This window comes from Homo sapiens, chromosome 2, assembly GCF_000001405.40.
Source record: "Homo sapiens chromosome 2, GRCh38.p14 Primary Assembly".
Classification (NCBI taxonomy): domain Eukaryota; kingdom Metazoa; phylum Chordata; class Mammalia; order Primates; family Hominidae; genus Homo; species Homo sapiens.
Window position 1 is genome coordinate 180,796,147 of NC_000002.12, and position 21,570 is coordinate 180,817,716.

The window sequence follows — 21,570 nt, forward strand, 5'->3', positions numbered from 1 at the left end:
AAAATTCTTGCAAACCACGAACCTGTTATAAGACTCATATCCAGAAAATATAAAGACATTTTTAAGCTCAATAATAAACTTTTTTTTTTTTTTGAGACAGGGTGTTGCTCTGTCGCCCAGGCTGGAGTGCAGTGGCGTGATCTCGGCTCACTGCAACCTCCACCTTCTGGGTTCAAGCGATTCTCCTGCCTCAGCCTCCCAAGTAGCTGGGATTACAGGCGCAGCCGCCATGCCAGGCTAATTTTTTGTATTTTAGTAGAGACGGGGTTTCACCTTGTTGCCCAGGCTGGTCTCAAACTCCTGAGCTCAGGCAATCAGCCCGCCTTAGCCTCCCAAAGTGCTGGGATTACAGGCGTAAGCCACTGCGCCCGGCAATAATAAACATTTTTAATGGGCAAAAGATTTGAACATAGACTTTAATAAACAAGATACATGGATGACAAAAGAGAACAGGAAAACATGATCAAGATCATCAGTTATTAGAGAAATGTAAATTAAATCCACAATGAGATACGACTGCACGCTTACTAGAATAACTAAAATTCTAGAGTGATCATAAAAGTGTTGGCAAGCATATGAAAAAACTAAAACTCATATACACTGCTGGTGGGAAAAACTTTGTCAGTTTCTTAAAAGTTAGACACATACCCACAATATAACTCAGCCAGTTCACTCCAAGATATCGACCCCAAAGAAATGAAAGCATGTGCTGCGATTTGAATCATGTCATCTCCTCCAAAATTCACATTGAAACGTAAGCCCCAATGTAACAGTATTAAAAGGTGTAGCAATTGGGAGGTGAGTAAGTCGCAAGAGCTCTGCCCGCATGCATGTGATTACCACCTTAAGAAAAGGGCTAGTGGTTGAAGCACACACTCTCCTACCCTTCCTTCCCTTTTGCTATGTGGGGCATCATCTTGAAAGGAGAGACCAGGTCCCTCACCAGACACCAAACTTGCTGGTACCTTCATCTTGGACTTCCCAGTCTCCAGAACTAGAAAAAATAAATTTCTGTTCTCTAGAAATGACCCAGTAAAAGGTATTTGGTTATAGCAGCACAAATGGACTAAGAAAGCAAACTTACATACAAACACTTGTACACAAATATTTATAGTACCTTTATTGGTAATAGCCCAAAACTGGAAATAACGCAAATTTCCATTAATAGGTAAATGAAAAACAAATTACATTCATATGCTGGAATAGTATTCACCAATATAAAGGGCTAAACTATCAATACACACAACAACATGTATGAACCTCAAAATTATTGTGCTTAACGAAAGAAGGCAGGTGGAAAAGAGTACGTAATGTGTGCTTTCTTTTATGTAAAAGTCTAGGTAACACAAACTAGTCCATAGTGATGGTGAATCATGATTGTCTAGGTAGGGGTGGAGAGAGGCAGGAGGGAAGATATTACAAAAGGGCATGAGAAACTTCTAGGGATGATAGATATGTTCATTATCTTGGTTGTGGTGATGGTTTCATGGGTGTATAAATATGTTAAACTTATCAAATTATGCAATTTCAAAATGTACCATTTATTATTTACTAATAATACCTCAATAAATAAAGCTATGTAAAAGGAAAGCAGGATGGAAAATCATACCTACAGAATGATTTTGTTTTCAGAATACTGTCCCTCTTTCTCTCATACACATGCAAACACACACACTCAACACAAGCACAGTCCAAGAAATGAAATTAGAAAGAGATACATGAAAATACAAAGAATTATTTATCTAAATGTTAGAACTTCAAGGTGTTATTTTTAAAGTTCTAATATTTTTAAAGTTCTTCTTTTACTTCCCTGTGTTTCCCAAATTCTCTAAAATTTTGGCTTTGCTAAGCCTAAATGATTACTTCTATGAAAAATAAAATAAAGTAACTTCATTGTCATCCAGCTTCAAATATCCAGATTCATTATAGCATCCATTTTTTATACATAAGTCATTTTCATCAACCTTTGTGTAGATGTTAATTCATCTTCTTGCTTATTACCCACAGAAGGTATATTATGGAAACTACTGAATGATTACCAAAATATATTGAATTTCACATAGTGATCATTTTGAGAAATGAGTATTATGTTAAATTTATTTCTGTTCACTTGCACTCACTTTGAATTATGTGTCTATAGAGTATAAAATGTTATATGAGGGACCCAATTTTTCAAAATGACAAATTAGTTATAATATTATAAATTAAAATTTTACATTAAAATGTAATAAAATATCCAAGCATAAAATAAATATTTAAATTCAAGTATATCTTCAAGTCTAACAGCTCCTCCTTGCTTACCATACAAATGCAAACTCCTTAAGCTGGTCATCAAGACTGTCAGTGCTGTGAGCCTGGCTTACCTCCCACTGTATTCCAAAACATCAACCTTTATTGTCCAGCCCCACTGAGCTACTGATGCTTTCACAGTTCCTGCCTCTGTGCTGTCCCCAGTGAAACTTTCTCCACCTCATGTCCTCCCCACATTCTCTACTTGTCAAGGTCTTGTCCATTCTTCAATGTTTATCTAGTCCTTTCTTGCTGATATACTTCTTTTCTTATAAACCAGAAGTTGTCCTCTCTTTCTTGGAACACCCTTCCACTGATGCCGAACCTCTAAAATGGCACCAAGAAATAAGACACTCACTATGTGTGTATGTGTTTGTGTGGGCATGAGTATGGGTAGATGTGTAGCTGAATTTCGCCTATTCTTTTCTATCAGATTTTTCAGCACAGCGAGTGTTTAATAAATATTTATTAAGTTAAATAGCAATTTTTAAACATTGTTTAACACATGACTGTTTTTCTGGATCATGATTTCCTACACAGGAGTAATAATTTCATGGGCTTGTTATTTGTTATGGCAAATAGCATAGAAATCTGCAGTGAAAATATAGTAGCCATTGAATAAACAGAGCAAAAGGTTGTTGCACATATTTAACATTTCGTTTGTCATCTGATATATTTTCATAAAATCTTTTAAAAATTAAGGAATCCTTTTTTGGAATACTTACCCTAGGCCATGTTAAGTATAATTTTTCTTGTGTAGGATAAAGGAAAATACAAATAAAATAGTTTGCTGTGATTATTAACAAAGAATGACTTTGTGCATTGTGTAAAATGGAGCCAAATCAGCATAGATGGTATCTGCACTGTCTCTGTATGACTGCCATCATGCGTGTTTCTTTGCTCTGTTTATTTTGCTGTTCTCTGTAAAGTAGATCAGCCAATTCTTTGTCATTTTATTGGAACAATGTGTTCTGCTGTTGTTGTTTTGCTCAATATATAGCATGGGGTTAATTCAGATTTAAAATTAAAATATTTACTTTTCATTTTATACATAACTCAATTACCAGTCACTCATGTTATAAAAATATTTGGATATATTTTAAGCATATATGTTATTGATAGTATAATGGTTATCTAGTACTTTCAGTAATAAAATATTTCCATCACCTAGAAAGCTTAGAATTTTTTTTATTATTACTTTTGTTTTATAAGTTAATGTAACTTGGCATAAATATAATAGTGTAGATATTTGGCATAAATATTTTAATAGTGTAGATATTTGGCATAAATATTATAATAGTGTGGATACCCTTGGTCAAGAATATTATAATATTCCATTTCTGGAGTAGAGTACTTCAGACAATATGAAAGGGTCCAGAAGTGCCGCTATTTGATTTGTTACTAAAAATGCATCCTCATATCCAGAAGTTAAATGCTTAGCAAACACAACTTACCTTTAGTTGCCAGGATAATTGGCTTTACTTCAGTATATCTTAGATATCTTAGTTGCTTTCAATAGTCTATCTGTGTTAACTGCTGGTAATTTTTAAAAAACTGATGCCAAGTAAAGTCAACATAACATTAAGCTGTTCTGCTTTATTAACTTCAGCAGTGTGTTTCTCAGTCAGAGCAATACTGCCTCTAAGGAATCTAACTTACTAGGTTTGAATTCTTCTTTTATCCAAATGCTTTCATTCATTCACTCATTCATCCATATATTGGATACTTATTTGTGCCTACTGTTTTCTAAGCACTGTGCTAAAAAGAGTAGAAAGTCTTCCTAGTCAAAAAATTAAATCTGGTGGGGGGATATATTTATAGAAAATTATAATACAATGTAGTATGTGTAATTCATTAAACCATTCAACAAAAAATATATTGAACATCCACTAGGTGAGTGTGGTATTGTGGTACAAACTAGAAATAAGATTGTAAGCCAACAGACATTTACAGAGTTTATGGTCCAGTGACTTATTTAAGAAATAACTAGAGGACAAACTTGGTAGTCATTAGTAGTTATCAATAGCTTGGTAATAAAATGGATGGGTGGGGATTGAAGAATACACAGCAATTGCTTTTGAGGTTCTAGCATAAGTTTGTTTATTTGATTATTCGTGTATTTGCATTAAAGAGACGTACAAAATTTACTATATGTCAGGCTCTGTTCTAAGCACTTTTTAATCCACCTAATCCCATGTAACAGCCCTACTTTTATTTATACCTATCTTGCCAATGAGAGGCCAAGTCAATTTTTCAAGGTTACAGAGCTATTAAGTGGTAGCACTGGAACTCTAACCCAGATAATCTTGCTCAAAAATTGTTTTTCTAAACACTAATCTAAGCTGCCTCTCACATGCAACTAGGAGGGCCTATTGCTATAGAAAATATATTTAAAAATGGATACCTGTTGTAGGGATGATGTCAGTCTTGAGATACTTAGAGAACATCCTCTTGGTAGGTAGCTTGCTGGATGTGAGTCTTAAGTTTAAGAAAGATGGCTGGGTTAAAGATACAGATTTAGGAGTTGCCAATCTATGGGATTAGGGAAGGTCGAACAAGTAGGTGAGCTCACTTAGTGGTTCCCAAACACTAATCCACAGGCCATTTCGGATCCATATTGAAGTTTATAACAACTCTTTGCAAAGCAGATCAATAAGGATTGTTGAGGAGTTTAGTGCCTAAATTCTCTTTTCCCCTTATGTAATTACAGTGAATAGAGAATACACACAAAATATAGTCATTGGAACTTAGCTAAGACCTAAAGTCAAATGGGCTCTATTACTCACTCTGTACACCTAAAACATACAATCTGTCAAAGGAAATAGCTGTCTACACAGGAGACCCTGTCTTACCTACCCAGTTATAAGCTAAAACTCTAGGGGAAATGTCTACCCAAATTCCTCACAAATTGAAGAGAGGAATGCAGCAAGTCTAAAGAATGGGCTGTCCAGGAAAGACTTAAGATGATAATATTAATAAATTACCTAATATGAGAATATACTGAGTGATACCTACATGCCTAGCAAGAGCTTAGAACTAAATTAATGACAGCATATAGAAAATTAAGCAAATAAAAGAAATACTATTATTAATCTAGTACTAAGTAGAATTGTCATGCAGCAAAGGTAATTGTAGTGTATTATTTGGCCCAGTTTTTACAGACATAATAATGTAAACACATTTTTATAATCAAAATTATTATTTACCCACATTGATGTGATGCGAATAGAAAATTGAGTGGGGAGTAATATTGGGAGCAAGGGTAAAGAGAGCTAAATTTTTATCCTCCACAATATCAAACCAATAGAAAATGACTAAAAGTAATAAACATAAGAACTGCCACATTTTATTTAGAGATACAGAAATAAATATCAAATTATCAGTGAAAAATAGGGAGTGCTGGTTTCCAATAAGAAAAAAGGAAGGATCAGGGACTACTGTTTTTCATAACACAATTTGTGGTACTATTGAACTCTACTTAACTATGTGCACACATAATTTTTATTTGAAAGCTGCATGATATGAAAACTTGTAGGTGAAAACAAAATGAAAGTCATAAATAGCAGCGTTTGTATTAGCAAGCATTGAAATAGTGAGCTCATGAAAGAAAGAGTTGAAAAATTCCACCAGAGACAGAAAGTCCTAATATCCAGAAGACAAGAGTTTCAAAAGAAAGAAAAAAAAGAGATAAAAAAGATTGAATGGATTCTTAGCATGACAAAAAAATGATAGTTAAGTATCTTATACCCTGGCTTATTATAGTGAAATTTAAAGTTATCAAAGACAAAGGAAAATTTCTAAAAGCTTCTGAAGAGAAAGAACAGACTACCCAAAAAAGAAATGATAATTAGGTTGACATCTGACTCCTCAACAAAAACTCTAGAAATAAAAGACAATGGAGAAATATTTTCAAAATATGGAAGAAAGAGAACTCTGATTTTAGAATATTATATCTTCTCAGACTGTCATTTAAATGTAAGAATGAAATTAAGACATTCTTATGCATTCAAAGCCTGAGAGGTTCTGTGTAATAAAGATCCTCTGAAAATATTATTTAAGGAAATATTACAATAAAAAGTAGAGTACTATTAGAAACATTTAAAAAATGGGTTAGAAGGTAACTTATAGTTGTACAGAAGAGCAAGAACCACAATTAAATTTTTTTTAAAAGCAAGCAAAGGCCAGGCACGGTAACTTATGCCTGTAATCCCAGCACTTTGGGAGGCCGAGGTGGGCAGATCACCTGAGGTCAGCAGTTCGAGACCAGCCTGACCAACATGGAGAAACCCTGTCTCTACTAAAAATAAAAAAATTAGCTGGGCATGGTGGCGTGTGCCTGTAATCCCAGCTACTCAGGAGGTTGAGGCAGGAGAATCGCTTGAACCCGGGAGGCAGAGGTTGCAGTTAGCCAAGGTTGCAGTGAGCCAAGATTGTACCATTGCACTCCAGCCTGGGTGACAAGAGTGAAACTCCATCTCAAAAAATAAAAATGAAAAAGTAAAATAAAATAAAAGCAAGTGAAAAAGGTAAGAAATTGAAGAAAAGCTGAAGAGCGAGTGATAAAAAATGGAAATCCATTTCAACACAAAACTGAATTTTAGAACTTAAATTCTTCCAACATAGTAACAGAACCAAAGGTAGAGAGGTGAAAAGGTAGAAAATATTTGTCTCATTTCAGTATATATATAGATATTGGTAAGTTCATAAAATTGTCAAGAAAAAATTAACTTTACGTGTGCATTAAAATGCTAGTGACAATAATATAAAAAAGAGAAAAAATATTTATCACACCTTAATCAGCAAAAGAAAACTTGATTTATCTAATACAAAGCAGAAAAAAACAGAAAACAAAAATTTTTACGGAGAAAATTTTAAGTAAGGTTGAATTTTTAAGTCCTAATATATCAATAAATATAATTTTAAATAAATTCAAATTTTCAATAAAAAAGACGATCAGGTTCTATTCAAAATGCAGTATCCAGCAATACATTGTCAGAGCAATGCAAAACAAACCTACAATTCTATAACACATTTTTCTAAGCAGCAGATAGAAAATATAGCATTTTTCAATAATAGCAAACACTGTTTAATATGTATGAATTAACAAAGAATTTACAGAACCTCTTGAAAAAATTGCAAAATATTGCAAAACTGTTGATAGACATAAATAATCTGAATATATGAAAAGATATTCTGTACATATATAAAGAACGACTTAATATTATTGAGTTCTGTTCTCCAAAAATCATGTATAAAAGCAATGCAATCACAATTAAAATCTGGCCAGATTTTTTTAAAAGGATACAACTTCTTATTATAAAGCCAAAATCACTAATCACAGATCCATGAATAGTTATGCTGACTTTTTAAAAACTGAGCAAAATTGTCAAGGGAGGTTAGCACCAAGCCTACCAGCATTCAGACACATTAAAATTCTTAAATGAGACAAGATTATAATCTTTAAATAAAAGTGTGTGTGTGTGTGTGTATATATATATATATATATATATAGTGAGAGAGAGAGAGAGAGATTTAAATACATCAAAATGTATTCATTTGTTGAAAAAAGAAGATCCTAGACAAAGTAATCAAATGATGACAATATAGAAAATATTTGCAATATCTAAAACTTGACAAGATAATGATACATGGTTGGGGGTAGGAGGAACTACTTCAAGAAAATAAGAAAAGGAGAAGAAACTCAAAGTTTAAAAACAGACATTTGAGAAAAGGGGAAGCCCAAATGTTAAATAATTATATGAAGAAATACTCAATACCATTCATAATGAGAATAAAGTAAATCAAAACAAAGAAATCCCATTTTAAACCCTAAAAAATATGTGTTGGAAAAACTTGGAGTGTTGGTGAGGATTTGGGAAGCAGAAACCACCATGGTTCAGCTAATGTTTTGTAGAATGGTGTAGCTAAGAACAATATGGCAGTTCTTAGTGATATTAGGGAAAAGTATACTCTGTGTCCAAGAACCCCTCTACTGGTATTCCCTCACTAAATAAATGATCAATTAGCGACATGCAAGAATATGCATATTGCAGGGGAGTTGGAACCACCTAGATGTCCCTCAGTGGAGGGACTGAACAGAATAATGTGAACAGGTGGAGGATACGTACTACAGAATATTATTCATCATTCGAAGTAATTCTTAAAACCATAATATGGAAAGGGTAAAAAACACAATGGGATTTATGGTGAAATAACTTTTATGACATTGTCCATATATGGGAGATCAATTGAAGGGCAATAGTATAAAAAGGAATATGCTAACATAACGAGAGAGGGGTCTTGAGGGGACTAATAGTGATGCTGCACCACAAGCCAAGAGAACTCCACACTCTGGCTAAGGAGGAAGAAAGGTGAAGAAAGAACAAAGTGGGGTGGGAGGAAAGGATGGAGAAAGAAAACAGGGAGGAAGATAAAGTACAAACTTAAAAATACAGACCCGTAAATACCTACCATTTTCTAGTTAAGTTAGCCTGGTTATTTTTAAGTTATGATATAATTTGTGCATGAATTAATTTTCTTACTCTCCTAAAACTATGGGGTTCCCAGAACAGCCAAATTTCTGCCACACTGTTGATCCAAGAGGGGGACTGAGGACCTAACAATAGACTGAGGGCATTCCCCACACAGGCCCTAGGATTCAGTTGCTACGTTTAAGAAGTCTGGGACTTTGAAGCAAGTGTATGAGCAGGGCCCAAAACAATTTGCCCCTGGACTCATTTAAGTGGTAGAATCTCCTAAATCTCTATGTTAAATGGTAGAATCTCTTTGGGTGTATTACCATGGCCTCATCTTATTACTAAGTAAGACAGTAGTTTTCTAAAACATGCTTTTATTTAAAACCTTGATTCTTAATTCCTTCATTTTGGATTAGTTAGAATGTTGCCAACACTCTTAATATAATAAATTGCAGTCAGTAATCATTATTGCAAGGTTATGCTTTGACAATGAAGATTTTAGATTCCAGAAAATGAGGGATGTCCTCACGAAGGGATTTCCAGTCTCAGACAAGGGCTGGTGTGGGGCATTTAAAAACAAGGAATAGAGACGGAGGAGCTGCAGAAAGGGGTGGAAATTTCTTAAGGTGACAATAAGCAAGCAAAGGCAGTAAGGTAAACATTTACAAAGGTGGGAAAGGCCATGAGAAGATAGGGAAAGATAAGCTTTAAGAAATAACAACAACAAAAAAAAGTAGAATGGGGAAATGGGAAATTAATAAAATATTTGCTCAAGTAAATGTATTCATTTCATCCAACAACATTTATTGATTGCCTTATCTGTGACTGGCTCTATGGGAACACAGCTGTGAATAAAACATTACCTCTCAACAGTCCTGTGTGGAAGACAGGATAAAAAATAATGAAGATTCAAGGTGTTAAATGTGGTAATAACGGTATAAAAATGCTGTTGAAAGACAATGGAGGGAATAATTCTCACCACAGGGATTATGAAAGGATTCAGAGAGTAGCATTTGACCTTCATTCCAAAAATGAAGAGCAAAGATTATTTTAGGATAATCATTGAGTAAATAATATATTCTTATAATTTATTACTATTTTACAGTTACTAAAGACTGCTCATTTTAGAATGACCTTTAGCTAATACAGATAATAAAATAATTTTTAAAAATTATTATGGGATAACTTCATTTTCTCTCATTCTTTTGATGAAAATATAATTCAGAAAGATGACTTTTTCAGTATATTCTAAGATGTTTGACCAAACGTTTCCCCTAAATTGGCCTAAAAATTACTTCTTTTAAGAATTAGATTATGTTTATGTAATGGGTTACATTTATTGATTTTCATATGTTAAACCAACCTTGCATCCCAGGGATGAAGCTAACTTCATCATGGTGGATAAGCTTTTTGATGTGCTGCTGGATTCAGTGTGCCAGTATTTTACTGAGGATTTTTGCATTGATGTTCATCAGAAATATCGATCTAAAGTTCTGTTTTTTTTGGTGTGCCTCTTCCAGGTTTTGGTATCAGGATGATGCTGGCTTCATAAAATGAGTTAAGGGGGAGTCCTTCCTTTTCAATTGTTTGCAGTAGGTTCAGAAGGAATGGTACCAGCTCCTCTTTGTAGAATTCAGCTGTGAATCTCTCTGGTCTTGGGCTATTTTGGGTTGGTAGGCTATTAATTGCTGCCTCAATTTCAGAGCTTGTTATTGGTCTATTCAGGGATTCGACTTCTTCCTGGTTTAGTCTTGGGAGGGTATATGTGTCCAGGAATTTATCCAATTCTTCTCTCAATAGATGCAGAAAAGTCCTTCAATAAAATTCAACATCCCTTCATGTTAAAACTCTCAATAAACTAGGTATTGATGGAACATATCTCAAAATAATAAGAGCTATTTGTGACAAACCCATAGCCAATATCATACTGAATGGGCAAAAGCTGGAGGCATTGCCTTTCAAAATTGGCACAGAACAAGGATGCCCTCTCTCACCACTCCTATTCAACATAGTATTGGAAGTTCTGGTCAGGACAATCAGGCAAGAGAAAGAAATAAACTACTTACTGAAATGATCATTTGTCTGAGTAACTCAAATATCTATCAGATCCTGTAGTCAAAATAATTTTCCATGTATACAAAGATTTAGTTTTTATCATTAAAGAAAATAAATAAATAAATGTCCACATAGAAAATAATCACTGACAATAATTAGCATTAATGGAGTTGTATTTGGATAGACATTAGTGCAGAAGGAGGAAAGTTCAACCCCTTTCTGAATAGCAGCAGTCATTGGTTCTCTAGTCCTCATCTGTATTTTACTGGTTTAAAAACTATTAAATTTTCATCAGCCAAGTTATATGTAAATAACAGCAGTAGGTAATATGCTATATTTTCTCCATGACTGGGGGAAAAACATGCAGGAGTTCTTGTGAACACAAAGCTGACACAGAACAGAAATTCTAATACGTGCGGGTGGTGTAAGATGTTAGCATCTCCCTTTGTATAACTGAATGTCTGTTTTCATAAAAGAAAAAAAGGACGTTATGGCAAATGTACAACTCCCTTTGAATTAAAACCTAAATGCTTGAACCTGAACTTTAAAATTTGTGCTCAGAATTCCTTTTAGAGCTGGAAGAGTGAGTCCTGAGCTGTCATTTGTTTCCAAATTGCATTTCAGTTTCCCAGAAGACATCGTAAAAAGGAGGGGGAGAAAAACAATTTTTCAGAAATTGCAACAGTTTGAATAGATTTGTTTTGCTGTTGTTTAAAACAGAAAGCTCCATGAAAGCTAACACAAGTAACTCTTACAAGGAGGACACTGAGGACTGAAAGTTGCCTGTCAGAAGGTCTGTATCCTCATCCTCGCATAAAATAACTCCTTTAGAAGACAAAAGCATAGCATAAAAATATACATGTTTGGTGACAAGGATCACGTTTCCTTCTCAACTTTAGTAATAGAGGTTTATTTCCTCGGTGATTTCAAAACTGTCTCAATGTTTTGATATTTTTAAAATATATTTGTCATAGATATTTATATATTTATTTTGTTCAATCATGGGGCTTAAGGCTTAGTAAAGGATGAGGAAGGATTTTATTCTTCATTCCATCAAGAATGAGCTAGATATATGACCTACCCAAAGCAAGTCATTCAAATTTCCAAAATGCTGCATTAGCAGGCTTCTCACAGGTGCAGGTTGATGATCATAGGGCCCTTGGGGCAAGCGGCAGAAACAACTGGCTGTCACAAGCAAGAAAGGAAATTACCGGTAGAATAAAAAGTCTGCACATTGGTGGGAGGTAGTTCTGGAAAATGTGTGAGGCCCAAAGGGATTCTGGAAGTTAGGTATTATGAACATTCTCGCCAAGACACTAACATTCCACACAACAGTTGGATGCTCATTACCAGAGCATACCACATCTTCATTCAAAACTCTACCATCATGAGCTCTGTCTGCCAAGGGCTGGGGAGAGAGGAATTTTCCCATTGAGCTTCCATAACAGAAGCAGGGTGCTGAAGGATCCTACCAATACTACACTCAATGTGTTCTTCCTATGACAGAAAGCAGATAAGAAATGTTGAACCAAAACGAAAAGAAAAAAAACAAAAGTTTAAAAAAATTCTATGGCTTTGTTGTTCCCTCTTGTCCTCTATGAGATATAAAATATAAAGACAAGAGCAAAATACATAAAAGCCTTCTATTTTAGGCCCGCTTTATTATCTTCCAGAGCCCTAATGTGAATGACTGTGATGCATTTGAATTTCTTAGATAAAAGGCGATTTTCAAAACATTTCAGTCAACTAGAATTTCTATAAAATCTTAAACATAATATATTTACACATATCTTATAAATGACAACATGATACTAAACTGCTGGATAAAATTTGAAAGAAACAATAAATGAATCAGATATTCTGTTAGCATGATAGTGATATCTTTGGAAAGAATTATTTGAGTATATCTTATTTTAGAGAAAATATTTGTCATTGAAATAAATATCTGACTCATAGACAAAAAAGTATAGAAACATGAAAAAGACTAAAAGTATGGAGCATATACACTATGACATATCACATACCAGTCAAATTTGCCTTATAATACCTAAAAAAAAACAAAAATCAAGTACAGCTGAAGTCCATTGGAATTCATTGTAAAGGAAATCAACCCATAGAAGTAACTTTCAAACTTCTTTTTTTTCTTTTCCACCAACAGCTCTATGACGCTGCTCCAGACACCTAAGTTTGAAAATCTTAGCCGAGACCCTCAGTTTTCTCATCTGGTAAATGGGAAAATAATCCCCTCATAGGTTGAGATGAAGATTAAATAAAACACCATAAACAAAGCATTTGAAATAACGCCTGACATATTGTTTATCACCCAATAAATGAGAGTAATTATTATTACCTAAGTAAGAAATTCACATTCAGGGGACTGTAGTCCTTTAAAAACTGCAACATTTTTCACAATTGTTAGACCTTGATTCTTCCTAATTGCTTGTCAAGATGCCCCAGTGAAGAAAATCATTTTAGAGTTTATGTTATACTATCTTTCTAAGCCATGCCAAAAAGTTCTGGTTATAGGGAACTTCATCAGTTACTTCAAAGTATCTGCCTTAGCCAGCAATTCTGATCAGTCTCCAAGTTTAACATATTTTGGTTATTTGAATTGTTGAATTCAACATTTTTTAAAAGAAATTGGACCTGATCTTCACCTGGCATTATTTATTATTCCAAATTATTTGACTGTCATCCAGTTTTAAGACCTCATCTGTAAAAAGTACTGGCAAGCAGGGAAAAAATACATGAAACTATTGCTAGTTATAATAATATGCTTTCTCTTTTCCTGAGCTCTTTTCCCCATCCCCTAAGGCATAATTTCCAAGTTATGTGGGACACAACATCAGTCTGATGATTGCCTACTCAGTGTTATCAAATAGTTTTCCGGAGAGATAGAATAATACTTTTATAATAACATGACAAAATGAAAGTAAATAGATTTAAGGATGCATTTGTCATGAAAAATAAAATACCTCATTACCTGAACCCATACCAAATGATCCTGGTTATTAAAGTCAAATATAAAACGATCTGTGAACATTAGTAGCCTCTTGTGATCGTTGCCAGCCGAAGTTCTAAAATTATTGTACTTTCCTCTCCAACACTCTGAAGCCCACCTCCTGCTTATTTTTAGCCTTATTCTGCATGCTCAATCTGTAAGGATTTCAGCTATGTCTACAATAATCTTATGATAAATATGTTTAAATCAAAACAATATTAATTGGTGCCCCTAGACTTGAAAAACATCTATAAGTAGTTTTATCTTTGTATAAATAAAATAAAATTGCAGAATCATAGAACGTAGAGTTGAATGGGAACTTGAAAATATTCTAGCTCAACCTCCTACCTAAAGCTGGAAACTTCTGTACAGAGCACTCACAATTTGCAATATAATTCACTCCATTTCTAAATATCTTTGCTTTTAAAATTGTTCGGGTTTAACTAGGTTCAATCTGGACCTTAGCTTCTTGAAACTTCTGGATCTGCCCTGTATCTGCTTCACAGAATACCTCTAATCCTTTCCTACATGACACTCTAAAAAAATATGAGGACAGTAATTATACCATTCCTCTCTCTCCCAAATATGTTTGAAATACAGACAAATCTCATTTTATTGTGTTTCAGTTTATTGTATTTTGCCTTATTATGCTTTGCAGATAGTGTGTTTTTTTTACAAATAGAAGGTTTGTGGCAACCCCGCATTGAGTAAGTTTATCAGTGTCGTTTTTCCAACAGCATGTGCTCACTTTCTGTGTCTGTGTCACAGTATGTTAATCTTAGCAATATTTCAGTCTTTTTCTTTATTATTATAACTTATGGTGATATGTGATCAGTGATTTATGCTGTTACTATTTTAATTGTTTTGGGGTGCCACAAACCTTGCCCATATAAGATGGTGAACTTAATTAATAACGTTGTGTGTGTCCTGATTGCTCCAACCTGTCGCTTCTTCATTTCTCTCCCTCTCCTCAGGCCTCCTATTCCTTGAGACACAGCAATATTGAAATTAGGCCAGTCAATAACCCCACAATGGCCTCTAAGTGTTCAAGAGAAAGGAAGAGTCTCATGTCTCTCACTTTAAATCAAAAGCTAGAAATGATCATGCTTAGTGAGGAAGGCATGTCAAAGCCAAGATAGGCTAAAAGCTAGGCCTCTTGTGCCAAATAGTTGGCCAAGTTGTGAACGCAAAGGAAAAGTTCTTGAAGGAAATTAATTGTGCTACTTCAGTGAACACATGAATGATAAGAAAGTGAAACAGCCATATTGCTGATCGGGAGAAAGTTTAGTGGTCTGGATAGAAGATCTAACCAGCCACAACATGCCCATAAGCCAATCCCTAATCCAGAGCAAGGCCCTAACTCCCTTTAATTCTTTTAAGGCTGAGAGAGGGAGGAAGCTGCAGGAAAAAAGTTTGAAGCTAGTAGAGGTTGGTTCATAAGATTTTTTTAAAAAAAGAAGCTATATACAATTAGTTCAGTCACTGTGAAAGCGGTTTGGAGATTTTTCAAAGGACTTAAAATACAACTACCATTTGACCCAGTAATCCCATTACTGGGTATATATCCAAAAAAATCAAATTGTTCTGCCAGAAAGACATATGCACTCACATGTTCATCGCAGTACTATTCACAATAGCAAAGACATGAAATCAAACTAGATGCTCACCAGTGGTGGACTGGATAAAGAAAATGTGGTAAATAGCCGTAGGTAAATTGCTTCATAATATTAGTACATATTTATGGAACACATGTAATATTTTGTTACACAAACAGAATGTGTAATGATCAAGTCAGGGTATTTAGAATATCCATCATCTCAAATATTTATCATTTCTAAGTGTTGGGAACATTTCAAGTCCTGTCTACAAGCCATTTTGAAATGTATGATACATTGTTGTTAACTATAATCACGCTACTCTACTATTAAACATTAGAACTTATTTATTCTGTCTAACCGTACGTTTGTACCCATTGACCAATCTTTCTTCATGCCTCCTTCCACACACACACCCTTCCCAGCCTCTGGTACCCATCATTCTATTGTCTACCTCTATTAGATAAACTTTTTTAGCTCTCACATGTGAGTGAGAACAGGCAATATTTGTCTTTCAGTGTCTGGCTTATTTCCGTTAACACGATGAACTCCAGTTCCATCCATGTTGCTGCAAATTACATGATTTTGTTCATTTCTTATAGCTGAGTAGTATTCTATTGTGTATATATACCACATTTTCTTTATTCATTTATTTATTAACACTAAAGTTGATTCCATATCTTTGCTATTGTGGATGGTGCTGTAATAAACATGGGACTGCATGTATCCCTGTGATATACTGATTTATTTTCCTTTGGATAAATACGCAATAGTGGGATTGCTGAATCATATGATGGTTCTATTTTTTGGTTTTTGAGAAATCTCCACACTATTTTCCATCGTGACTGTACTAGTTTATATTCCCACCAACAGTGGGTTGGTGAGTTCCCATTTCTCTGCATCCTCAGTAGCATGTTATATTTTGTCTTATATTTGTCTTCTTAACCATAGCCATTCTAATGGAGGTAAAGTGATATCTGATCGTGATTTTGATCTTGCATTTCCCTGGTGATTATTGATGTTGAGCGTGTTTTCATACATCTGTTGGTCATTTGTATGTCTTCTTTTGGGAAGTATCTATTCATGTCCTTTGCCAAATTTTTAAGGGGGTTATTTGTTTTGTTTTTTTACTGTTGAGTTTTTTGAGTTCCTTAAACAACAGATTTTCAATGCAGACAAAATAGTTTTATATTGGAAGAAGATGCCAACTAAGATTTGCATAGCTAGAGAGAAGTTAATGCCTGGCTTCAAAGGACAGGCTGACTCTCTTTTTGGAGGCTAATGTGACTGGTAACTTTAAGTTGAAGCCAATATTCATTGGCTGTTCCAAACCTCCCAGGGCCCTTAAGAATTATGTTAAATCCTGGGCATGGTGGTGTGCACCTGCAGTCCCATTTACTTAGGAGGCGGAGGCAGGAGAATCGCTTGAACCTGGGAGGCGGAGGTTGCAGTGAGCGGAGATTGCTCCACTGCACTCCAGCCTGGTGACAGAGCAAGACTCCATCTCAAAAATAATAATAATAATAATAATAAAGAATTATGCTAAATCTACTCTGCCTGTGCTCTGTATATGGGAAAACAAAGCCTGGATGATAGCACATCTATTTACAGCATGCTTTACTAAATATTTTATACCCACTGTTGAGATCTACTGCTCAGAAAAAAAGATCCTTTCAAAATATTACTGCTCATTGACAATGTAGCTAGTCACACAAGAACTCTGATGAAGATGTATAAGGAGATTAACATTGTTTTTATGACTGGTAATGCAACATCCATTCTGTAGCTCATGGATCAAGGAGTAATTTTGACTTTTAAGTCTTACTATTTAAGAAGTACATTCTGTAAGGCTATAGCTCTCATAGCTCTTGTACATAGTGATTGTTCTGACAGATCTGAGCAAAGTATATTGAAAACCTTCTGGAAAGGATTCACCATTTTGGATGCCATTAAGAATATTTGTGATTCATGGGCAGAGGTCAAAATATCAATAGTAACAGATGTTTGGAAGAAGTTGATGACATTCAGGGGTTCAAGACTTCAGTGAAGAAAGGAACTGCAGATTTGGTAGAAATAGTAAGTGAATTAGAAGTGGAACCTGAAGATGTGAATTGCTGCAATTTTATAAGAGTTGAACTAATGAGGAGTCGCTTCTTATGGATGAGCAAACAAAGTGGTTTCCTGAGATGGAATCTACTCCTGGTGAAGGTGCTCTGAACATTGCTGAAACGACAACGAAAAGTTGAAAATAATCCATAAATGTAGTTGAGAAAGTAGCAGCAGGGTTTGAGAGGATTGACTCCAATACTGAAAGTTCTACTGTGGGTAAAATGCTACCAAACAACATTGTATACTACAGATAAATCTTTTATAAAAGGAAGAGTCCATTGATGCAGCAAACTTCATTGATTTCTTATTTAAGAAACTGTCACAGCCACCCCAACCTTCAGCAACCACCACCTTGATCAGTCAGCAGCCATCAACATTTCGGCAAGATCCTTCTCCAGCAAAATGATTACAACTCACTGAAAGCTTAGATGATTGTTAGCATTTTTTAGCAATAAGATGTTTTAAGATTAAGGTATGTACTTTTTTTAGACATAATGTTATTGCACACTTAATACTCTACAGTATAATGGAGTGCACTGGGAAGGCAAACAATTTATGTGACCTACCTTATTGTGATATTCACTTTATTGTGGTAGTCTAGAACCAAACCCACAATATCTTTGATGTATTCCTGTATTGAATTTATTATCTTTAAAAAGAAATAGGGGCCGGTGTGGTGGCTCACGCCTGTAATCCCAGCACTTTGAGAGGCCAAGGCAGGTGGATCACTTGAGGTCAGGAGTTCAAGACCAGCCTTGCCACCATGACAGAACCCCATCTCTACTAAAAATACAAAAATTAGCCAGGCATGGTGGTGTGCACCGGTAATCCCAGCTACTCAGGAGGTTGAGGTAGGAGAATCACTTGAACCTGGGAGGCGGAGGTTGCAGTGAGCCGAGATTGCATCACTGCACTCTAGCCTGGGAGACACAGCTAAGGTTCCATCTCAAAAAAACAAAACAAAACAAAACAAAACAAAAACGGAAAGAAATGAGATTCAGTCTGCACCTCTAAGTTTCCACTTCTACAGCTAAACATTTTCAGCTCAAATTTTGGTGGGTGATTCATTCAGAATTAAGGAGTTATCCTTGGCCTCTCGTTTAAGAAATAGAGGTATGAAAATAAAATCTGTTGGGGCTAACTTTATCTCTCTTTTATACTCAGGATTTAGCAATGCTCGGGCCTATATTGGGTTGAATGGTGGCCTCCAAAACAATATGTCTACATCCTGACCCCTAGAATCTGTGAATGTGACATTCATTGGAAAAAAATAGTCTTTGTGGATGTAATTGAGAGTATCGAGTTGAAATCAGCCAGATTTAAGGTATGCCCTCAATCCAATAGTAAGTAACCTTACCAGAGACACATGAGGAAAAGAGTAGAAGACACAGAGAAGGCCATATGAAGACAGAGGCATAAATTGGAGTTATGATGCCACAAACCAAGGAACACATGGAGCCACCAAAGGCTAGAAGAGGCAAAAAATGGTATTTTCATAGAACTTTCAGAGGGAATGTAGTTTTATTTTGGACTTTGGAGCTCCAGAGCTGTGAGAGTGATGATTTAATATGGCAGTCCTAGGAAACTGATACAGAGCTCTCTAACATACTGAATTCCCAACTCTAGTAAGCAGAGCAGCTTCCACGTGGTAACCTGCTCTCCCTTTGTCTCAGAGTGACTTTACCTTCATCTTTCCCTGATTTGCATTCAGCATTGACATATTCATGACAGGTTCTTTCTTTGGACAGGCTCTCACTCTGTAATCCAGGCAAAAGTGCAGTGGTACAATCATAGCTCACTGCAGTCTTGAATTCCTGAGCTCAAGTGATCCTTCTAACTCAGCCTCCTAAGTAGCTGGTACTACTGGTGTGTGCCACTATGCCTGACTAATTTTTTTAAAAAAATTTTTGTAGACACAGGGTTTTACTATGTTGCCCAGGCTGATCTCAAACTCCTGGCCTCAAGCAATCCTCCCCCCTTGGCCTCCCAAAGTGCTGAGATTACAGGTGTGAACCACTGGGCCCAGTCTTCAATCTCATTTTTAATTCTTACTATGAGGGAAGATCCAAGAGATTACCTTGGACTCCAGATGCTGACTAAAGATCAGATAGATCTGGAAAATCACAGGTGCAAGCTCTTTCTGCCATAAAATGCTAAACACTCATGAACTAAAAATACCATGAGAAATCAAAGTTAAAACAGGAGTAAATGTCACATTGAAGGTTCACTTCTTCCATCTCTCTTTATTATACTCCTCCTACTAGTCATGAAATACAGGTTCTTAGAGAGGGAAATTGTGAAATTGTGCAAAGGAGAAAAGAATGTGTACCGACAGATACACTCACAAACACAATTTTATATACAATTTTATGGGTCAATCATGTTGCCTCTAAAGGGACTATAGCCCTGTATTAGCTTGCTAGGTCTACCATAACTAAGTACCACAAACTGGGTGACTTTAACAACAGAAATATATTGTCTCACAGTTCTGGACATTATAAATCCAAGACCAAGTTGTCAGTACGGTTGGTTCCTTAAAAGCTGTGAGAGTGAATCTGTTCCATGCCTTTCCCCTAGCTTCCGATAGTTAGGTAGCAATCCTCAGCATTCCTTGACATGTAGAAGCATCACTCCAATCTCTACCTTCAGCGCTTCACATGAAATTCTCCTTATGTCTGTCTCCAAATGTTCCCTTCTTCTAGGATTGCCAGTCAAAATGGATTAGAGGTCCATCCTGCTTCAATATGACCTCATCTTATCTAACTATATCTATAATGACCCTATTTCTAAATGAGGTCACATTATGAACTACTAGAAGTTAGGAATTTAACATATGATTTTTGAAGGGAGATGCAATTCAACCCTTAACAGCCCACAAAATTAGTTGCCCTTGTGTTATTCACTATGTGTTTGAAATTGTGCTTGTTGTCACATGAAGTAGAAAAATATGTCATGATTTTTACTGTCAATGAATTTTCTTTACTGGACACATGAAACAATTTTTTTAAAAATTAAGATTATTTAATTTGTTTGATAAGAACTTTAGGTACTAAAAGTATCCTGATAAGGAGAAAACATGTGTTGTGCTTTCTTTTTAATGTCATAGATAGACATTAGAAATGTTAATTCAAATAGACACTAGAGAAAGGAGGGTCTGAAATAGGCATTTGTGCACCCATGTTCATAGCAGCACTGTTAACAATAGTCAAGAGGTAGAAGTAACCCAAATGTTCATCAACATGAACAGATAAGCAAAATGTGATATACAAATATGACGGAATATTATTCAGTCTTGAAAAGGAAGAAAATCCCTTAAATTCTACAATCTTGAGAACATTATGCTAAGGTAATTAAGCCAGTCACAAAAAGACAAATACTGTATGATACCACTTATATGGAGTATCTAAAGTAGTCAAATTCACAGAAATAGGAAGTAGAGTGGTGGTTACCAAAGGATGCAGGGAGAGGGAAAAAGAGTTCTTTAATATGCATAGACCTCCAGTTTTGTAAGATAAAAAGTTCTGCAGATCTCTTTCCCAAGAATGTGAATATACTGAACATTACTGAATTGCATTTTAAAATGGTGAAGATTGAAAATTTTGTTATGCTTTGTACCAAAGTAATAAATAAATAGTAAAATAACTGAAGCAAATAACTGAATAGATGTGATTTAAGAAGAGATTAGACATAGCTAAAGAAAAAGTTAGTGAATGGGAATATAAGACAATACTCTAAAGTATGAGAAGAAAATAATAGAAAATAGAGAAAAGCAAAAACAAGCACAAAGTATAGAAGAATTAAATCTGACACGTGTGTTATTGGGATGGTAGAAGGAAGGAGGAGAGTTTCAGAGCAAGTATTTAAGGTTTTCAAAATGACAATGACATGCCATGCTTTCAAGGAGGCTAACAAACAAGAAAACCATAAGTAGGACCAGTAGAAGAATTCTGTCACAGTCCAAAGACAAGATCTTAGAGCCTAACAGAGAAAAAAGAGAGGGCTTTCAAAAGAGTAACACTCACACCAAGGACCAACTTCACAATAA

At 35.2% G+C, this 21,570-nt stretch overlaps 1 long non-coding RNA gene across 7 annotated transcripts in view, besides 1 other annotated feature; it reads left to right on the forward strand.

Moving 5' to 3' along the window:
- Nucleotides 1-21,570, forward strand: part of SCHLAP1 (SWI/SNF complex antagonist associated with prostate cancer 1) — a 224,836-nt gene that overhangs the window by 104,043 nt on the left and 99,223 nt on the right. The gene's annotated exons all lie outside the window — the stretch shown is intronic.
- Nucleotides 17,452-18,651: an enhancer, noted in NCBI's record as "BRD4-independent group 4 enhancer chr2:181678325-181679524 (GRCh37/hg19 assembly coordinates)". NCBI's record gives its function as "activates an origin of replication core promoter dependent on BRD2, P300/CBP, MED14 and CDK7 cofactors, and independent of BRD4, by STARR-seq in HCT116 cells {active_cell/tissue: HCT116}" and the evidence as "EXISTENCE:reporter gene assay evidence [ECO:0000049][PMID:35650434]".